The following is a 22868-nucleotide window of genomic DNA, read 5'->3' on the forward strand; positions in this document are numbered from 1 at the left end:
GTGTTACGACCTTAAATTATAGGCTTTCACTTTTAAGACCATAATAATCTCCCAGTGCTGCAACTCTGCAGGGAGGGGCACTGATGCTCAGTCCCCTAGAAACATAGCGGGTGGAAGAGAAGAGAGGAAAAGCCCTGATGCACTGTCACAGCTTGAGCTCTAAAGTCACAATTGAGACATGCTTATGACAAATCCGATCCAGCCATCCCACCACCTAAGTTACACTGCCCAGTGTTCTGTTTTCCTGGAAGCTGCATTAACTCTTCTGGTCCTCTAGGGTACTGAAAAGTAATTTACCGATACGTCACCCCAAATGGTGCTCTTGTGGTCCAAGATCTGGTCTGTGTCCAAATTGACACAAAGCCTCAAAGACCTGCTAGGAGTAGCTTATAAATTAGGGCACTATGGTTTATCTTCCAGAGACTATTTTCCAAATGTCATGTATCACATAGTCATTTTTTATTTGCTTAATAGATTATTTTAAAGAGCTTAAGAGATCACATAGTCCATACATTAACCTGCCAACAAACCCCCAAAATCTTAATTTAAATTTAAAAAAATGAAGCCCCATAAAGTATGAAAAAGAATGTGACATAAATTCAAACGTTTCTTTTTAAGTTTGCTGCGCAACACTCACACATGACAGGAGATGCACTCTTGGCTTAAAAAAGGAAATCAATTCTACAAGGGCTGCCCATAATATTGGAATTATGTTAATTGAATCTGTTTTGTTCAAATGGTAAAAGTTTGGCTCATTAGCTAGAAATTTACTAAAAATTGGAAATAAAAGATTGAAGAGCCTCAAAGAATATATTAGTAGAATGCTTGAGTACATAAACAAAGTAGATAATGTCAATTCTTAAAACATCTACATTTTAAACTAATATGTGAATTATGCTAGATTCAATCCAACAAAACTAATAGTGATGTTTAGCCTGCACTGCAACTAAAAGATAATATTTAAAAGTTATAGGTACAGCTGGGAACTGTGGCTCACATCAGTAATCCTAGCACTTTGGGAAGCTGAGGGTGGGGAATCATTTGAGGCCAGGAGTTCAAGACCGACTGGATAACATGGCAAAACCCTGGCTCTACTAAAAATACAAAAATTAGCCAGGCATGGTGGCACATGCCTATAAACCCAGCTACTTGGGAAGTTGAGGCACAAGAATCGGTTGAACCCCAGCGACGGAGGCTGCAGTGAGCCAAGATCTTGCCACTGCACTCCAGCCTAGGTGACAATGGGAGACTCTGTCTCAAAAACAACAACAACAAAAAAAATTAAATTTTTAAAAAATTTAGAAGTGCAAGGGAAAATAACTTTAAGTTTTCTTGTTTTCACAGAAAATTTTTTAAAAAGGAAGGAAGGAAAGGGAAGGAAGAAAGGGAGGGAGGGAGATGTAGCTATGCTGGGATGCATAGTTGAAATGTTAAGTGATAATATGGATGTGTCCACTATGATTAAATTAAGATTATAGAGTCTATTTGTACAAAACAACTCAAAAGAACATACAGTATATAGTGTGTATTTGCATATGTTTTGATACTGTATATGTAATATATATTGTAAGAATGAAAAAGTATAATTTTTGTTTTTTATATATCATTTATAATTTTCTTGTTCCTGATGTCCATTTTTCCCTGAGTTGTTGCTCATGATAATCATGTTCCTATATTTTGTATTTGATGATGTTATTTGGTGATTAGCATGTCCTTCTGGTTCATCCATTTAGCCTATAAATTGCAAGTAGTGCTGCTTCAGTTGCACGCTGTCTTCTCCCTTGGCCTTCACTTTGGCCTCTGAAAACCCTTAAATATAACTAATTTATTAAAGAAACAACTGGCCTCTCCTGTATTTAATATTTAAGGGGATAGAGATTTAACTTCAGGGCACAAAAACTACACAAAATACTTAGCTAGGTTGTTATTATTTAAATGTTTCAATGAAATTTAATTTGTAATTTAGGACTTTTCCAATCTTTCCTACATTTTATAATATATTTAACCTAAGCAGCTAAAATCTGAGCATGAGAAAGAATCATTCATAAATACAGATGGTACAATGAAGAGCTCCACTGAACACTGCTGAAGCTCGTGAAGTTGAAAGCAGAGTGGCTGATTAGCCATACACATATTTTTACTAATCACAGAGCAAGCATATTTTGTTACTGCATAATCAGATGCCTTAGGTATATCAAATATACTTTTTCCACATGACCAAAGTAAGAATTTGCAAGAAAAGCAATCACCATTCAATTACATGCCTGTGATTATAAAATACTAAAACAAGTCAAATTTCTTTTTCTAATATCAAATTTGAACTTAACCATATTTTCCTAAGAGCAATTTTCTAGCATTGAAAACCACGACTAACCTTTTGTCAGAAAAAGTGTTTGAGGATATTCCTGATACTGTTAAAGCTTTTTCTTATATGTTCTGGGCATGTTCTCTCTTCCTGAAATATTTTGATAACTTATAGAAGTTGAATCTATATTTAAGAATAGTCACTGCCCTCCTGTAAATTCAAGAAACTCACGAGGGGACCTAGATTTTAAAAATCGTTTGTGCTTTTGAAATCTTAGTGAAACTAAGCGTTTTCAATCCATAAAAATTTTAACTAACACATAAAATTCATTCAAATCTCTTAAAACCTTAAAAATGATAGACTTCTATTTTGCCCATACAAAAGAAAGCAATAGTGAAATTTTAACTGATAAATATTAAGATGCTTTCTTCTTTAAGGATTGTAGTTTCAAATGTTTTTACACTAAAAACCAACTGACAGATCTTTTATGAATATTTGGAAAATCATCCTTCGCTTTTTTGCAGCCCAGAAAAGAAGCAAAAAGAATCATAATATGCATTTTATGTGGTGATATAAAAGAGTCCCATGGTAAGAGCAGACGGAAAATGGTATAGTTATTATTAATTTAGAAAAACAAAAGAGCAGCCCAGCATTTCAGTAATGTGGCAAGTTGTGTGCTCTTGAAGGAGAGAGGGTTTTATAATTGGATTTTAGAGTAATTTAGAAGACGAGATAAGATGTAATGGTTGAGTATTAGAGGTTAGAACTACAAGAGAAACCCATAATGTAAGGGTTCACTGCACTGGGGGACAACAGAACAAAGAGAAGCAGCGCCAACCGAAAACGGCCCCAGTGAGAAGCAACAAGGTGAGGCTTGCGATGGGGGTTCCCAGAGGGTGTCAGCAGGGACGCAGGCTCAGCCCCTGCAGCATACCGTAAGGAGCACAGGCTTTTCTCAGAATGCTTTTTCTTTAGTGACCTGTCACTGTCCCACCTCTCCTCCTCCCTACCTGCGAGTTCAGCTTGGCATTTCTTTCTTCCCTGCAGCCCAGCAGTCAGACCTGAGCATCTGCCATCCAGGCTTCCACCCTCAGCAGGCTGTCCTGGGGCTCCATCCAGGCTCCCCTGACACCACCCACACACCCACAGGTCCCCCCACATACACCCCCACACATACACACCCCACACACATAAACACCCACAGACACACACACACACACATACCCACATATACACACACCCCACAAACATAAACACCCACAGATACACACATACACACCCACATACACACACCCCACATACATACACACACTCCCTACACACTCCACTCACATACACACCCACATAAACACATACTTCCCCCATACACACACACAGCCACACACACATCATACACACACTCCCCCTACACACACATACACACCCACAGTCACATCCACACTTTCCCCACACACATACACATACCCCACACACATACACACCCACATATACACTCCATACACATACACACCCACCAACATACATACACACCACACACACATATACCCCCACATACATACACACACTCCCCACACATACCCGACTTACATACACACCCACATATACTTCTCCCATACACACATATACACACCCACATACACCCCTCCACACACACGTATAACTCCCCACACATACATACCCACATAAACACATACATATACATACTTCCCCAACACATATATGCACACCACACACACACCCCTCCACATGCACATACTCCCCCCACACCCATACACATCCAAAACCCCACACACATACACATCCAAATACACCCACACCCACATACACCTTACATACATACACACACTTCCCACACACACCCCACACACATACCCACATATACACACACCCACAGACACACACACCCACATCCACACACCCCACACACATACGCACATACATCCCCCCACACGTACCCACATACTTCCCCCCGACACATACACACCCACACACCCCACATACATACCCACATATACACACCCACATACACCCCCCCAAAACACAAACCCCACACACACATACCCCACACATATACCCACATACAGACACACATACTCATACATGCACTTACTCTCCTCACACACATATTCACCGTAAACACATACATACCCACACACCCATACACACATTTCCCCCACATATACACAACCCCATACACACACACTCCCTACCCACACACACATCCACACACCCACATTCCCCCACACACACCCATACACACACTCCCCACCACCCCACACACACATATTCACCCCCACACACACACTCCCCACCACCCCACACACATATTCACCCACACACGCTTCTAACACACCTACACACACGCTTTCCACACATATACACAGCACACTCACACCCATATCCCTCCACACACACATGCATACCACCCTACACAGAGAACCAGGGCCTAACCTCTCTATCTCTCTTCTATCCCCGCAAGGCTCAGCCTGTGCCCACTGGGAGACAGAGAAAAGAATCTGAAGAAGAGTAAAATCTGCCTCTACCCACCCCACCCCCAATTTTCATTCCAAGCCTTAGGCAGATAAATGTACTTTTCCACCTGTTCATTGGGGTCCCTGTCCAGATAATCCATCGCACAGGCTCCAGCTCTCAGGTGAAGGCCTCAGGTGAGAGGCTCTTTTTAGATTTAAGAATCCAAGCCTGGAGGGGAAACCCTGTTTCTAGAAAGGGAGAGCTGTGTTGCTGACGGGCGGTGGGAAGAGATGGGAACCTATGGGGTTGAATTCCTGCCCAGTCATCGGCGCTTGGCTACCCCCTGCTGGGCGGGAAGCTCTTGGCCTCAGACTCACACATTATGCTCAGGGTCAAGTCTATTCCCAAGGCTTGGGACAGAATCCACTTACTTCCTGTCAAATTGTTATCACACGTTCCCAACGTGAAGCTGGAGTGTGAAGTTACCTTCCAATCCCCAAGAGGTGTTTGTTAAAGAGTTTTTTTCCTCTGAGCCCTTTGTATGCCAGTTTAAGCAGAACAAATCTATTTATTTTTTGTGAGGATCAGTTTATTAAAAGCATGCACATAACTCAAATCGTATAGTAAAATGATGTTAGGCTTTGTTGAGCATGAAAAGTGTGCTCGCTCAAACCCCATTTCCAACCTTCCGTGCGTCATTTTCCCCTGAAGCAGAACATAGGTTATGTTAACAGGACCTCAGCCCAAAGGCCTAAAATCAGCTTAGCTCCCAGGCTTTCTCCAGCCATCTCTTCCCACAACCCACTCTTTCCACCTCTCAGGAAAACCCCAGCTACATGATGTAGAAAACTGGCAAATATAAGCGGACGGGGAACCGATTTTTAACCAGATCAAGTTTTCAAATATAGATTAACACGTTTTAATTGTCCTATAAACTATTATTCTTAAAGTCACTCTTAACAAAACCCAGACTTGGAGGAAGTTCTCTGCCATAACTGTAATGTGTATACACTATTAAGATAGTTATGAAACCTCAGACACATTTGGAAGACGTGGCTTAATAGTGCCTTTAATACAAAATAAAGTAAAATGTAAATAAAAAGGGATTAGTTGTTATAAGCTGTGACACAGCTGCAGCGACAGAAACTGAAGAAACATGTAAACAGAGAGTGCTTTTAGTCACTCAGTGACCCAAATGTCTTTTTCAGACTCTCACAATTCTAATTCTGACACACTCGTTCATTTCATTTATTTTGCAAACCAAGCAGAAATGAAACGGACCTTCAGATTAAGTAAACAGGGGCTTTACATATAGCCACTAAGCTGCCAGATAGACAACTTTTGGTTTACATGGAGTGTAAGGGTAAAGAAACAATGTCAAAACTGCATCCCTTCTTGCATTTATTGGCATGAAGTGAAAATCCAAATATATTCACCAACAAATTAATAAAGGGTGAACAGGCTGCTAACCTTGCATGGTGCGTTAAAGTGTCAGAGCACTTGAACTGCACATCATAGCACAGCCTCAGAAATAAACAAACATTTCTCTCTGTCAGAATGGGGTAAATAAATTAGGATTTGGCTAAATCTCTGGTTGTTTTGCTCCCATGTTGTGGCCTAGAATAAGCCCTACACTATTTCCAGCTGAAGTTGACTCTACTTGATACCTTAAGCAAATGAGAGAAAAGACAAGGGTGACAGTGTAGGAAGGAACTGACTTGAGATTTTCCTTTCTTATTAGTTAACAGAGTTGTCAGTGAGTGAGAATGCAGGATACAAATTAATGCTTTTTCAAAAGCCTTCACTCTAATCCTATTTTTTCCTTAATGATCCCTTTGTCAATTACTGTTGTCTGGGTGTAGCCTTATAATAGTCATGTTCAGATTGTTTACCAAGGTTGGGTGAAATGGCAGGATGAGGGTGGGGGGAGGGAGGAACAAAGAGATAAGCCTATCCCTGATAAGCCTAGGAAGCTCTTAACTGAATTCAAGTAACCCTGCCCCCTCCCTCAATGGGAGAAGCATGCCAGCCTTCCCACCAAGTTCTTCCAGATGATACTCAGTACTTTAATCTCTATGCCTGCTCAGCAAATTGAGTGATTTCTCTTCTCTAACTCTTGCTATCTGGTGACTCCAACCCCTTTTTTCTTTGAGCCATTTCCTTTTTCCGTTTTTCTTGAAAAGTTTTCTTAAATCCATACACATTAAACTAATAAAGAAAAATGGAATATAAATGCTATGGTTTGAATGCCCCCTCCAAAACTCATTTTGAGATTTAATTGCCATTGTAATAGTATGAAGAGGTGGGCCTTTAAGAAGTGATTAGGCCATGATGGCACTGCCTTCATGAAGGGGTTAATGCTGCTATCACAGGTCTGGGTTAGTTATTGCAGGAGTGGATTTCTGATTTAAAAAAAAAAAAAAAAGATGAGTTCAGCCAACTTCCCTCTCTGTCTCACATACACTCACAATATGATGCCATCTGCCTTAGGATGACCCTTCCCAGAAGCTGGTGTCATGTTCTTGGACTTCCCAGCCTCCAGAACCATGAGCCAAATAAGTTTCTTTTCTTCATAAATTACCCAGTCTGTGGTGTTCTGTTATAACAGCAGACACAGACTAAGACAACAAGCAAAAGTTAAATAGCAAAGTGATGATGGAAGATGAAGGACTCTGAAGAAGAGAAAAATCAATGGGATGACAGAACATTTAGGCAGCTTCAATAACAAGATGAAATGTGAATAATAGAAAACATTATTTGAGTGATTATTATGTATCAGACACCATTCCAAATATTTTTATGTTTATTATATCCTTTCATCCTCTTTATCACCCTATGAGATGACATTATTATCTCTACTTTAGAGGCAAAAATGTATTGAGGCCTGGAAAAGTTAGAATTCAATAGCTTATCAGTGGTACAGCTAAGATTTGACTTTTGACCAGGGACTTGTAAAACTATGCTATGCTAATAGAATAGGAAAATGGGTTAAGAAAAACAACAACAAAAACAAGCCAAACAACATTGCAAGCCAGCCTTTTTAACTGGGTGGGTTTCATTGTTATTCAACTGTGGAGTCACATTTGCAAACATTCTTAACCAGAAGAAACCGTGACTGCTCCATATCCCAAAGAATTCAGTATTACATAGTCCAGTATACATATTCATGGTCTCAAAAAATCCTGAGCTGCATATTAAAAGGTCCACGAGAGGCAAGTGAATTCAAATAACATAGGAAAGAAGCACATGCAGATGCAAAAGAACTATCCAAGTAAAAAGTCTGAACTTCTGTCATGTGATGTTTATACTCAAAATGGCCTAGATGAGAGGTAAAGGGTGGTTACATAATCAAGTGCCTACAACAGTAGCACTTTTAACAATTTTGGGGCCTGCAGCAAGAAATGAAGGCCCACATATTTTATGTTTTTATGTTTAAAAATATATATAGTCAAGCTAAAAAATGGTTAAAGTAAAATTCTATCCTCCTATGTAAATTAACAACTGAAAAGGACAATTTTTAACTTAAAATTCTTGGACTACTTCGAATGCTGTGTTAAAATATGGTAACGTGGAGTGAGTTGGTTTGTGTGTGGCCTCTGATCCCAAACCAAGTCAATCCCATGATCCCCATTTCTCTTCTGCCCTCTGGATGTATTCTGTAACTCAAACACCTCACTCATCTAACCTGTGCCCACAAGGCCTCCACTCCAAGTACCCCCTTGGCCACCACTCAAGTCTAGAAGAGTGCACACTGGCATCACAGTCTGTCTTCAGGAGAGACCCAGGGAGAACCATGTAAGCTTGGCATCCTCTGCTCAGGGACTTCCAGGAGCCTGGGTACCTGGAGCAGGATATAATGCTTTGACGCTTAAAGTGTAGTCCACAGCACCAGGGGTCTGTTAAAACTTCAGACTCTCAGACCCACGCTGGACCTACCCACTGAATTAGAATCTACACTTTGGCAGGATCCTCAGGTGTTTCATATAAGCACATTAAAGTTTGGGACGCACTGGGCCAAAAGGGATGGTGGCTGCTTGACAGGCAAGTCCACTTGTCCCCAAGAACTCCTCACCCTGTAGAGACAGCCATGGCTGGGTAAGGGCCAGGATGGAAACAACTAAAGAGTAGCACTAGGACAGGATCCCTTCTAGCTCAGGTTGGAAACTCAACAACAGATTTAATTACATTCAGGAGGGCAGTAGACCTAGTGTAAAAACATATGCTGACCCATGATGGGGACGTCAAGGGTGGCAGCCCTGCCTAACGGAGGCAGCCAGTGCCCAACTATAGCTTACTGTGGCCTGAGGCTATACTATGCTAGCTATGGGGTGAGGTCAAATCATAGACAGGTGGAATTAATATACCAGCCTGGTAGTTCTCATGGTGGGTGGGAAAAAAATGGGTATCAGAATCTGCTGAAAAGGTGTTAGAAAATATTCATGTCCCTGCCTCCACCCCTGAGAAAGTATCTAAAATTTTGGTTGAGGAAGAAAAACATACATTTTTATTTTTAAAAATCCCCAGATCATTTTGATTCATCCTCCCTAACCCCTGCCTCCACCCTTGCCATGTTAAAAATTATTCTGGACAACAGAACACAGTTAGCTGTTTCCATTGATTGTCACTGCTTAAGGCCCGGGGTTGTGCTTGGATGAGGCTGCTGACTTGCTTAATCCTTTCTCAGTCATTCTCTTATCACAAGTACACACATGAACAAAGGTTCACTCTCCATCTCTACATGCTAAGTGGAGCCAAAACGGACACATGGTGGAATTATAAGCGAAAAATTCCCAGACCATTTGGTCCCTGTATGAATCTCTACAGGAAATGCATCTCGTGCTGTGCATCTGGGTTTTATCAAAGAGAAGGTTTATTTCTACCCAGGATTCCGTTTTTTTGATAGTTACATTCTTCAAAGTAGGTGAAAAGACAAAAGAAAAAAGAAGAAGAAGAAAAAAAAGGTGGGGGAAATCTAAAGTAAGGTAACATAATTATTGAAGAATACTGAGGCAATCACTTCTGTTCCTTTAGCCACATTCCTCTGTGTGTATAATTACACAAATATTTTCCAAGTCATAATTCAAAAATAATTTATCTTTGACATTTGCATGCAATGCTACTTTTTTTTTTTAACAAATATTTATCGAGAATACACTACATATTGGACACTTTCACATACATTATTTTATTTAATCCTTACAATAACTCTTTGAGTAAGGCCTGTGAGCAGTCTAAGACACAGAGAGAATGACTGACCTGTTCAGATCATTTATCAGCAAGTTAGTGGGAGAATGTCTCCAATTCACCCAGCATTCTGTCCACAACAATACCTCTTTTAATTCGTTATCTGGCCCTGTTGAGAATAGGATATTCCACAAATATTATCTTTCATTATAGAAGCTTAGCCTACAGAGCAATCACAGTCTAAAAATTTAAATATTTCTGAGGAAAGACCTTTTGACATACATTGTCTATTTCCCTGTCTTCTAAATAAAGCATGGTGAACATTAGCTTTTTCCTAATAATTCAGTCATAATGTTTTTACTGTGCTATATAGTAGTATAAATGTTTATATCTTTTTCAAATTTTATGTCTCTCTCCCCCTCAACTGTTATATGTCAAAATAAGCATTAGGTAGGGTCTGAGTTAGAGCCCAACAGGTAAAGTGCATGGAATTCATGTAAAGGCTTTGTGTCTATTTCATGGGCTGGAAGAACTTTTTGAATTCTAATTTTGGGAATAAGGTTGCAAGTGAGCTGACTTCTAGATAGGTTGGGAGGTAGCATTTGAGGTCCTGGGACAACAGATTCACTTACCTAAATCAGTCTCATTTAAGAAATTCCTGAACCACACGAATAATTAGATATAACTTCTACCACTTGTTGAACAATAAAAGAAAGAGCAGAGTCTAAATAGTTCAGAGCACAGATTCTGGAGCTAGACTGGGATATTCTGTCTTTGCCATTTCCAAGAAGTGTGACCTTAAGCAAGTTATGTAACTTCTCTGTGCATCATTTTCCTAACCTGCTCTTAGAAGTTCCTATGAGGATAAAATGGATTATTCACATTCATAAAGCTCTTCTGATAGTGTCTGGTATGTAGAAATTGCTATTTGCTCATAAAATAATATAGACAGAAGTCAAATTCTGATGGGAAAAAAAGTCACAGATAATCCTGAAAGTGTGTAATCAGCGATCAGCTACATAACCAGAATGACTCTAGATTTGAGGCTCCCATTCCCTGCCATTCTGTGTGTGATGCCTATTAAATGGGCCCCTCAGAAGTAAGTTGCTTATTTCTAGTGAACTCTATGGCTTGTGGTAACACGATCCATCATGAGATGCTGCAACAGGCTGACATTTTCCACATGTAAATCCTTCACTTTGTAATGTAAGAGCAATTACTTTTATGAACAAAATCTTTTCAATCGACCATTTCAAATCCTTGTCTTGCCATGTCATAGTCAAAACATCTGTCCATTAAAGCTAACGTAAAAGTATATTAAACCAAGTGTGTTTGGTTTGGGACATCTGCTTCTTTCTACTGGTATGAGAACTATTCTAAATTCAATGGATTCTGTCTATAGGGCTTTCATGAAAACTTTTTAGTTATATTCATGGGGATTATCAAATAGCCTACAGTTTTGATTACTGTTTCAGGTTCAAATAGAATTCAGAGTTCAACAAGAGACTCAATCAAAATAACAACAATAATAACAACTATAACACAAAGAATAAAAATCTTTGCCTGACACTTTTACATAAAGAGTTTCATATATTGATGTTAAGTATTATATAAATATGATATAATGGCTTGTACAATGAGTACTCTATATTTTTAACACTATTGATTTTTTTATGTTCTTCATTTTGCATTCTTGTTAAACATAGTCATTGTTTTCATACTGAACTTAAAAGGGGAAAAGAATGAACAGAGACTGAGTTCAGGAGACCATGATAGGCCTAGATTTCAGATCAATCCCAATAGTTTTACCTCTTTTCTATGTTGACTTCTTACTGGAAGCTGAAATTATATGAATGTTTGGATATATTTCCAAGAAAGCATTTATTAATAAATATATCTAGAGCTTGGTTATAAAGTTGTGCCAGATGTAATTAAATTTTGAAGAAAATATTTTTTTAAAAAAGTCAAGAAAATAGCATTCACTATTTTCAACCAACATTTGGCTTATAAACAAAGTACAGTTTTCTAAAATAACAAAGCCAGCCACGTAAGCCTCCTTGACCATGGTATTTACTGATCACTTTCCATATTTCATTTTCTTTGCAATATATCCACAACAAATTGTAGTAGAAAGAACAAAGAACTTACAGTCTGAAAAAACTCTGTTCAAGTCCTAATCAAATCCTTATCAATCTTTGACTACATGAATTTGAGCCAGTAACACAACCTTCCTTCTCACTTTCCTTAACTCAGAGTCAACACACGCTACCTCTCTAATAAGATTGAATGCTGGTGAAAGTTGCAACATATGAGATTTTTATGCATTGATCAAGTGCCTACTGTGTGCTAGGCTTTATTCAAGCCATGACTGATGGTTAAAAAGAGCCCCCAATGAATCAAGTTTTCCTCGGTGCATGCCAGTTACAAAGTGAATTTGCTGTTCCTCTCCTTTAGAGGTGAAGTCTGTTTTCCATCACTTGAAACTGGGCTAGCCTGGTGACTTGCTCTGACTAACAGAATGTAGCAGAAATTACTTTCTAGGACTCCATACCCAAGCCTGCTTTTGCTCTTGGAGCCCTGTTGCCATGCTAAGAAGTTCAGCCCATCCAACTGGACAGAGAGGCCACATGGGGAGAGGGAGACCCTGGAGGATATGAAACCACATAGAAAGGGAGGTCCCATGACAAGCACTGACCCACTCCACCTCTGGCCAACACCACATAAAGCAGAGAGGAGCAGACCCTCTGAGCCCTGCCCCAGATTCTGACCCACATGATCATGAGAAAAACATGGTACAGTTGTGTTAGGCCACTAAGATTTGGCATGATGTGTATTTGTCGGTATATAACTGATAAACAATTCAGTATTTTCACTGTCTTTGCAATCTTCAGCACAACCTTTTGAAATAGTTATTGTACCCATTTCACAGAGAGGAAGCTATGGATCAAAATAAACTGATAATGGGCCAGGCACAGTGACTCACTCCTGTAATTCCAGCACTTAGGGAGGCCGAGGTGAGTGGATCACCTGAGGTCAGGAGTTCGAGACCAGCCTGGCCAACTTGGCAAAACCCCGTCTCTACTAAAAATACAAAAATTTGCCGGGGATGGTGGCAGGTGCCTGTAATCCCAGCTACTTGAGAGGCTGAGGCAGGAGAATCGCTTGAACCCAGGAGGCAGAGGTTTCAGTGAGCCAAGATCATGCAACTGCACTCCAGCCTGGGCAACGAAGTGAGACTCTGCTTAAAAAAAGAAAAGACTGATATTGGATGTAAACACCACTTCACAAACCCCTAAAGTGCCCTAACTGACAGCAAAACCATGAAACTCTCCCCCTCTTGTGAAGGAGTACACTTAAAAAAAACTTTCTATATAAAAGCATTGTTCTGCTTCATGCAATGATTCAGAAACCCCCTAAACATTCTCAGTAAATCTCTGTCATTTTTTTCCCAGTGGGATAAAAGCCTATTGCTAGGTCTTGGAGACAGCAGACTCCAGTTTAATGTAAGTTCCAGGACAATCAAAACCACTTGTATTCCAACAAAATGTTCAGTTTCTCACATTAATGGAAACAAGACTCAAGTTTGGATTAAGCATTCTAGTCTTTTGATTCAGTTGGCCTAACTCATAGGATTTTAGAGCTGAATCGAAGCTTAAGGTCATCTGGTCCAAACCTCCAATATCAGACAAAAACTTACTCAAGTCTACCCACCCAGTTCATGGCAGCAGGACCAAACCAGGTATCTGATTCCCAATCCACTCAGCACTGCCTTTCAGACACAGTTCCAAGAGTCATTGCAGAGGTCACCTAGTGCAGGATTACCCACTTCCAGAATTTTGGAAAAGATAAATAATTGCATGTCTTCTCATATAACAGTTTCATCTATTTTCACTAATAGGATTATGTAGTCTTTTAAAGCTAGATCTAAAGTCTTTCACAAAAGAGAACATCTGCATTACTTATTTTTTAAAAAAATACCATAATAACTTTTAAAATAACATAAAGAAAAGTGCACAAAAGGCATGAATGGCATGTGATCAGAAGAAAGGATGATTTAATTGGGCAATATGAGCACAATTCTCAATTCATTATTTATGATGCTTGTTGACATTTGCAGTGAAACATCAATGTTGGCTTCTTAGTATAAAATAAGTGATTGGGAGGAAACACCATGCAAACTAACAGAACATCTTTGGCACGTATCTAATGGTAGCAAAAAAAAAAAAAAAAAAATTAAAACATCCCATCATTAACTAGTTTTGTTTTCATGATGTTCATTCTGCTTCATTTGCACATCTTTTAGCAGCAAAAGTTAAAAACAGAAGTTGCATTCCTAAAGCTGATTTTGCTAAAATATCTTGTTATGAGAAAAAGGACTCCTATGAAATAAAAAGCAAACAAACAACATCAAGAACAGCTTTATTGGCTCAAGGACTGGGCTGGCCCATGGAAAAAATCCTGGAGTGATTTGTCCTAGTCCTATAGTGCATACATATTTCTTGCCTTGAGCTATACCTTATACAATTGAAATGTTACTATATGCTTCAAGTATGTCTTATCTTCTGAACTACATCAAATTCCATAAGAGTAGAGACTATTCCTTAAATATCTTCCTTCACAGTGCCTACCAAATTCTATACTTCTATGTAAAACTAGAAAATTTGCTAAGAGAATACAAGCGATATTCAAAGCATGTTGCCCTTTTTTCGCAGGTAATAACAATTGTATGATGTACCACCACCCTTCTCCCAAGAAGGGAATCAAGGGAAGACAGTAACTCAAGTTAGAGCATTTGGAATTAGAATGCAACCAGTCCCTGTAGTCTGCATTTTAACTAGCAGGGATTTTAGGTATGAGGCATCTGCAACCTAGAGAGGGCTCAAGACATCATTGCAATTTAGATATACAAGTCGTATATTTTGGGAGCAGGATTACTCCTTTACTGTAGCCATACTTGGTATTGTGAACAGAGAAGGAGACGTTTTTAGATTGAGAATGGTGAGGAATGCATTGGAATTATCCAATTACAAGATGACTGACTGCCATCATTTTCTTGTATACGGCTGAATCTGCCATCGATCCTTGACTAACTCTCCATGACCCAGGAAGGAGGAAGAGAGGAAAAGAAAGAAGAGGCATTGACCTGAATTAGCTAAATAACACTTGCAGAGTTCACTTTTCCTCCCCTCTAGGGTGTGCCAAGGTCTCCTGGCAGTCTGTGTCTTTTTTTTTTTTTTTTTAAAGTTAGATATTTGCTCTTCTACCAGAAAGCCTTTCTATTGACAAAGTAACAGAAGAGTAAATTTTAACTTGAAGTTTTTCCACCAGACAGATGTCTTTTCTTGTGAGAACTGGCATATTTTTATCCTCAGAATAATCTCTGGTTTCATATGCCTAATTAAATTTTAGAAGTCCCCTGCTTAAATAAAGATTTATTAGCTGTTAAAGTTGTAGCATAACTCTTCTGCCACCTACACGCTATCCTTGAACATATTTACAAGCAGACTAGCTTATCCACTATAAAAAATATGAGTGATTTAATACTCTGATGTTATTGGTGTCAATTACAAAATTCAGCTTCACAATAGAGCTTTCTGAAGATACTGTTACTTGACTTTCAGACTGTCAATTTACTTGAAGAAAGAGCGTCTGTGAATTTCAGCTATGAAGTATTGGAACTAGTTAAGCTGATGAAGGCAGTCAGCAGGTCTGGAACCCTGAAAATAGGGCCCAAGAAAGGTTACAAGCTGTGCCACGTACAAATATGGTCCCATCACTAAAAAAGCCTTCTCTTTATGGGTGAATGCATGGGCACTGACATTCATGTGAGTGTTTAGTGAGACACACAAACTCACAGACGTATCAAGGGTCATTGTCTGAAAAATACTTCCGCCCACCAACAGTTTTGACATCTTCCATTATTCCTAGGAATTTTAGCTGTAAGTTTGCCAATCTTAAATTTTGTCAACATATCTAAAATATTCAGAATTAAATGCAATTTGGCAAAATTAGCAAACTTCCAAAGTCCTATTTCATGAGGACACGTCTAAGTATGGATTGCATTGTGCCTACATCTCAGTGGAGTTACTTGATCTAATCAGACTTTCAGAATCAATGCAGTCAACACAATGAAAGTCCCCATTGACCCCAAGGTTGAAGCATCACTTGCAGAAATAATCAGAACATCCTGGTCTGAGAATAGAGACTGGGTAGAAACAAGGTGTATGTTTAGCTCTTTAATAAAGGGATATTTGAAAGATGTAATGTCTATTTTCTAATTCTCAGGAAAGAAGAAACACTTTTAAGCTCTGTTTCTTAAATCCTCAAGCTCAGTTGCTTTCCAGGCAAGAACCAAAATACATAGATTACATTCAGCATAAGTTGAAGGTCAATAGATTGGCGTTCTACTCTAGAAAACAAAAAGAGACAGAAAGGTGACAGAATTTGAGCATTATAATTAAAATGGCCTTTCTGGATCTTGCAGTACTATAATCCAAAGACTGGACACAGGTACTTCTAAATAATTTTCATAAAAATATCCCCCCATGTATTCCCCACCATCAGAAAAGTATTCCAATCTTTGACTAGCAATTTTATGTAAAATGCTTTTGGGTTTTATGTATAAATTTTAAGTATAACTTTGTTACTTCACTGTCAGGTTTAATGCATACAATTTCTTGTACATTTTGAGTTTACATAAAATTACAGGTTTTGCCTCATTGTGTTTACTTAACTTCAAACACACACAAAAACAAACATGTTTTGTATGTCTGTGTTATCTAGTTGGGGACATGAGCCCTTTTTCCCTCAGGATTTCAATTCTCATACTATTTTCATCTTTACTAACTCATTTGTGGGCCAATTTCACAGCATAATCTATGGGCAAACACACATTTGCTCTAAAATAATTAAAACTTTTCAGAAGGAGTAAACCTGTTTTTCTTTAATTTTCCTTGTCTTTCATGGCCACCTGATGCTCCATGCAACATACAAGTGTCAGCAATTGCAAGGATATAATGGCCAGGTGAGGTCATCTCAGACCTCATCAACCTGCTGGAAAATTATGAACTGTCCCTGTTGAGATTTTAGCAAGTTTCTTCCTTCAAATATCACTTCAGATGCTAAATAAAAAGCAACATTTATGAAATAAACACATTTACTCAGGCAGGTTTCCTTGATTTTTATTGCCAACTTGTTTTAAAATTACCATAAATGCCAGAGAGAAAGGGAAAAGAAAACCCAGTTTGAGACACAAAATGCATGTTACTACCTATCAAGATGTGAATTGTTAATGTTGCATCTCATTTAAAGGGAAAAAAAAGTACTATATAAATATGTGTGTAAGCACATGATTTTCCAAGTGGTTTAATCACTTTATTGAGGTATCTTTTGACTCATAACAAAAAAAAAAAAACTATTAAAAAATCCTACTAAGAAGTAAACTATTTAGATAGTCTTCAAGACATAAACATGTAGATGTTTGATTCTGGAAATAGAATTACCACATAGAGTTTAATTTATAATTTTAAAATTGCCATGTATAATAAATTGTCACATTTTATTTGGAATCACTTGACTGACTTAATTTGCTTGATTAATAATAGAAAGAGACAATAGGAAAATAATATAGTTTTTTATAATATTCAGGATTAAATCATCTATGTTCAATAGCTGAATATTATATTCTGTGTTTCTTTAAAATATAGAGTGCTGATTCCATGAAATTATTTAGTGTGAGCTATTAAAATGTTAGTTCATTTAGAATGTGCACTTTGTTCTTGCTATACTCTTACAAGCATTACCTGGAGTTTTCTTAATAGACTATTCTGATAAAATTAAGTCAAAATATGAATAAAAATGTTTTTTGTAAGCCATATCCCCACCTAGAAGTGAGAGAAATCTAGTTTTCCATTAATGGCACATCCCTCACCCACCCTGTCTCTACTCCCTTTCACCCCATACACAATTTTGGGAAGTGTCCTGTGGGTGTCTGACATATACTCTTGGTTAAAATATGACACCTAGCATTTTCCTCTGTGTTAGAAAGGGTTCTCTGTGCAACAGAAATAGAACCAATAAGAGATATATAATATATATAATATAAAATTATACATATATACCTATATATACATATAGTTAGATTACAGATAGAGATTGTGGGCCTCTTCCTTAGTTCAGCTGAAGATGGGGTCCTTGTCATATAGCCATGAAAATTTAGGCTCCCAGATGATTTGTAGAGTGGGAAAAATGAGTATTGTGCAAAAAGGAAAAAAGGGGGAAACAGAGACTCTTAGCAAAGCGAGAGTGTTTCCTGCCCATGGACTTCCTGCCTCTCATCTTGAATCGCAGGTACCACCCAGGAGGAGGAGGAGCCAAGCTCCTCCCCACTGCAAAGGGTGCGAACTTCTGTGGCTCCACCCTGGTGCACACTCCTCCCAGTGCATAGGCAGGTTGGAATTTTTCCAGCGAGTCCTTCCCACCTGGCTGTCTTAGATAGATAGATAGATAGGTTATAGATAGACAGATAGACAGATTAGATAGATAGATAGATAGATAGATAGATAGATAGATAGATAGATAGGTACATACATACATACATACATACATACATACATACATACATACGTAGATACATAGATAGATACATAGATAGAGACAATTATGGGAATTAGCTCACACAATTACAGAGGCTAAGAAGCCCCACAATCTGCTGTCTGCAAGCTGGAGACTCAGGAAACTCAGTGGTATAATTCAGTCTGAGTCCAAAGAACTCAGAACCAGGGGAGCCACTGGTGTAAGTTGCAGAGTCTGAAGGCTGCAGAACGAGTAGCTTGATGCCCAAAGGTAGGAGATGGATGTTCCAACTCAAAAAGAGACAGAATTCACCCTTCCTCTGCCTTTTTTGCTCTATTTGGCCCCCAGTGAATTGGGTGATGCCTGCTCACATGTGTGAGAGGATTGTCCTTATTCATTACTGATTCAAACACTAATCTCTTCCAGAAGCACCTTCTCAGACACACCCAAAAATAATGTCCTACCAGCCCTCTGGGAATCCCTTAGCCTAATCAAGTTGACATATAACATTAACTATCATATCCTCCCTTCCTGCTTTAGTTGTCTCTGAAAATGTCTCCTCATCTGCCTTTGAGTGGTATGGAATCACTGCTGAGCCTCCACTATTGGTGCCATCAAAGACCTCAGTGATGCCAAGGTAATGACACTGATGCCCTCCAAGAGCATCCTATCTTTGCTGCTGCCTGTGATACCAATGTTGTGTGTGGTCTTCCCCAGTTTCTTGTTTCACTGAGCTGCAGATTAGTCTGTTCACTGCTTGCGCCCTGGAATTGAACACTTGAATGTGCTTTAACCTTGTTGTATCTTCTACCCCTCTTGTTACACTCTCTTACATAATTATATTTCCATAGATTTACCACAAAAAAGAGATCCTTCTGACTTTATTTTTGTTTTACTATAATTTACTGACAAGCCCTTCTTCCTAGAACTCAAGTTCAAGTCTATGCAGGCTGGACTGGAGGCTATCTTTTCTCTCCCAAGCCTGATGCCATTTGATAGCTCAGCTGTGCTTTGGTGATCTTTATTCTTATGATGAAGTTTTTCCTAAGAGATGTCTTCATTCCTCATGCATAGACTCCTCTAAGTGCATTTACAAGTCTTGCAAATTTGCACACAAAAATTTCCATCTCCAATAAAAATACATAAAGTCAAGATAAGACCTCCCTTTGACATGTGTATTTTAAATAATTATCTGGATGTTTTTCTTTTAAAAATTAAATATATTATCAGTATTGAGTCATCTGTAGGATTTACTGAACTTCATGAAAGACCTTGCACCCCACAATACCCTAGTCTTTTCTATTATTCAGTGTTAAGGGATGGAAAGAATGCCTATGTAGTAGCTTACACTTTCTTCAGCTTTAAGATGCCTGTTTTGGGATTTTTTGTTTTTGTTTTTACATTTTAACATTTATAAAATCAAGACATTTCTTACAAACAATGTATACATTTAATGCTTGGGGTTTTAGTTTTTGTATCCTTGAAAACAATTGAAAGTATGTCTTACAAATGATAATATCATTGAATCAAGAAAATATAATAATCAGCTTTCTACTATTTCTCAGTTCTTTTCACTTGGAAACTATATTTGGCCTGAGATGTATCCAAACACACATGTATTAACAAGCAACAATACACTGATTTAATTGAATAATTAAGGAAGTGACCTCTTGATACAATGATAGAGGCAGGGGGCAGAGAAATTCTAGGCAGAAAAGGGTAGGTCCCCGACAAAACCCCACCTTCGAGCCAAAAACCCTAAAACTGTGGCCCAAAGTGAGAACTTCTATCCCTGTTTTCCCACTTGAATGTTGCCTTTTCCTAAACTACCCATGGCCCACCCCATCCCCCATCCTGTGCCTGTAAAGACCTCAGACTCAGCCAGCAGAGAGAAGCAGCAGCTGGACATCAGGACTATGGCTGGATGTCAGAGAGAAGTGGCTTGATTTCAGAGGGAGAGCATGATGGCATAACTTTGGAGAAAAATCTGGTCAGAGACAGCCAGACTTCAGGGGAAGATTACCTACCCACTCCATTCCCTTTTCAGCTCCCCTTCCTGCTGAGAGCTACTTTCATCAGCAATAAAATCCCCTGCATTTACCATTCTTCAATTCGTTTGGTGCAACCTCCTATTTCCTGGATGCTGGACAAGAGCTTGGGAGCCATGAGTGTGGATAGAAAAGGCTGTCACACTGGCTTTTTGCTTTTGCTGGTGGAAGGCAGCCACCTCATGTGAAAAGGCAGAGGGCCTACTGAACTGTTAACACTTAAGCTGTCCACAGACCAGACAGCAGAGCTAAAAGAGCACAGTAATATGCCCTCTGGGGCTTTGGGGGTTGCAGGCACCCCTCACCTAGATGCTGCCATAGGGCCTGCAGAGACTTTGCTCCTGCCAGTGCCCAAAAGCACTCGTTCCAGCTCCTGCACCCACTCACCTGTGGGCTCCCTCCCAGAAGGGATGGAACGCAACAGATACACGTGAGTGCAGTTTGATCCTGCTGGCACCAAAGCAGCTAGCTGGTTCCAGTGCTCATGCACTCCAGTTCCTGCCTCATTCACTCACACACTCCCTCCTGCGAGGAGTTGAGAGTGGTGGGCTGAGTAAACAAGACACCTGTGTCATGAGTCCCCCAAAGGGGTCAGGGAAATATCCTGCTTCACTTTGACCTAGATACAAATAACATGACTGAGGAAACCTAATTAATTTAGTATAAGATGTTTAAACTGCTGAAGATTGCCTGCCAGAGGATTTGAGATGTGTAAGTACAACAGAATTGTTCATATTCTTGATGTATATGATGGGTATTATTATTTTCATGTGAGTCTACATAGATATACATTATCTTTATAATAAGTAAACAAGTATTTTGCATGGATCAGTTTGACTGTCAGATAGGATGGTTTTTAGAGAGTGGTGCTAGGGTGTCAACATCATGTGTGTGATTCTTACACAGACCAATAATCTTTGTCCTGCTACATGGCTATGGACCGAACCTTGATATCAGTCTCCTGTCTTCAAAATTTGCCCTATTGTTTTTAATGGACTTCTAATAAAAGAGTGTAAATAAATTAACATAAGTCAGTTCACACTATAGAGAAATAAAAGAGTCTCCAAGAACATTCCATAATCAGACTCTTCTTGACTTGGCACTAAGGATAATAAGTTGGCTCTTCTGCTTCAAACTTGAGTTATGTGGTCAGAACATTCTCTCAATTCTTCATCAGGCTTGGAATCTTTGCCATCTACCCACTAAGTCATAGATCACCTCTGATCAGCATTAGTCCCCTCTCCTGACCCAGAGGCCATGATGATAAACTATGTGGACTGAACTGTATCGATGGTGCTTCTGATCTGTTGCCTATTGAACACGTGTTCCAAAGGGTACAGAGGATGCAATGAGAATGTATATCCTGAAGATGTATAATGTGGTGCTGGGATACTGAACTCATACTGTTCCAGATATATCAAAACTCTGCTAGTCTTACCACATCTGATTTAAACTCTTTCATCTTTATTTTTCCTAGCTTAACAAAAACCTCTGCAAATTTCCAAGTCTCATTCTAACTTGTAGTAAAGCTCCAAAGAGCATCCATTTTTCCTCTTTCAACTTTTATTACATTGGGTCACCTTGGCCTTTGAAGAGTCTGTGTGATTAAGTGTACCCTGAAATCACTGCCTCAAAACCACCTGAGATCAAAATACGGATGCCTATTCCCCACCACAAGCCCACTCAATCAGAATATCCAGAGGCAAGGTGCAGCCCAAAAGCACCCCTTGTTTAGGAACTACTGATTTGGTGAGACTACCAGCAGTACACCTTATAGCAGTTGAGTATCGTAGCAATTTAATCATGCACCTAATGGGAGTAGGAGGTGTGCAAACTGCCCTTCATGAGTAACCTGGAGACACTCACAAGAACCAACTTCACCATCACTATCATTCTCTATCTCTGACTGAAAATGACATTTACTTCTTCATAGAGGCAAACAGGTATTCTACCACTAACAGGTCCTCACATTAAAATTTTGCTTGAGGCTGCAGTGAACTATGATCATGCCACTGCTCTTCAGCAAGGGCTTCAGAGTGAGACCCCATCTCTAAAAAGATAAAAAAGAAAATTTTGCTAAAAACAAGTAGACACCAAAGACCCATCAGTCAGAAGCCAGCCTACTCTGAAAGAAACCACCACAAAGACCATCTGATGTTTTATTAGCAGCACTTTGCTCAGCCCCTGGTTAAAAAGCAGTTCTCTGCAGCAACCCAGTTTTAGTTGTCCCCAGGGATCTGGCTTGAAAAGAAGTTTGACATTATATTTTCTAAGCCAAACGGGCA

The 22868-nt window shown here is 39.1% G+C and overlaps 3 long non-coding RNA genes across 3 annotated transcripts in view; 2 read left to right on the forward strand and 1 right to left on the reverse strand.

Annotated features, from left to right (window-relative positions):
* The window catches only part of LINC01829 (long intergenic non-protein coding RNA 1829), a 91963-nt gene extending 86967 nt beyond the window's left edge, over nt 1–4996 (reverse strand). The window contains exon 1 of the long non-coding RNA NR_038844.1: nt 4905–4996. This is a non-coding gene — a long non-coding RNA (long intergenic non-protein coding RNA 1829). The remainder of the gene's footprint in view (nt 1–4904) is intronic.
* The window catches only part of LINC01828 (long intergenic non-protein coding RNA 1828), a 202799-nt gene that overhangs the window by 123878 nt on the left and 56053 nt on the right, over nt 1–22868 (forward strand). The gene's annotated exons all lie outside the window — the stretch shown is intronic.
* Nucleotides 3085–22868, forward strand: part of LOC101927661 (uncharacterized) — a 31167-nt gene continuing 11383 nt past the window's right edge. Inside the window, exons 1-2 of the long non-coding RNA NR_110568.1 lie at nt 3085–3172; nt 19076–19172. This is a non-coding gene — a long non-coding RNA (uncharacterized LOC101927661). The remainder of the gene's footprint in view (nt 3173–19075; nt 19173–22868) is intronic.

The sequence above is a fragment of the Homo sapiens genome, chromosome 2, assembly GCF_000001405.40.
Source record: "Homo sapiens chromosome 2, GRCh38.p14 Primary Assembly".
NCBI lineage: Eukaryota > Metazoa > Chordata > Mammalia > Primates > Hominidae > Homo > Homo sapiens.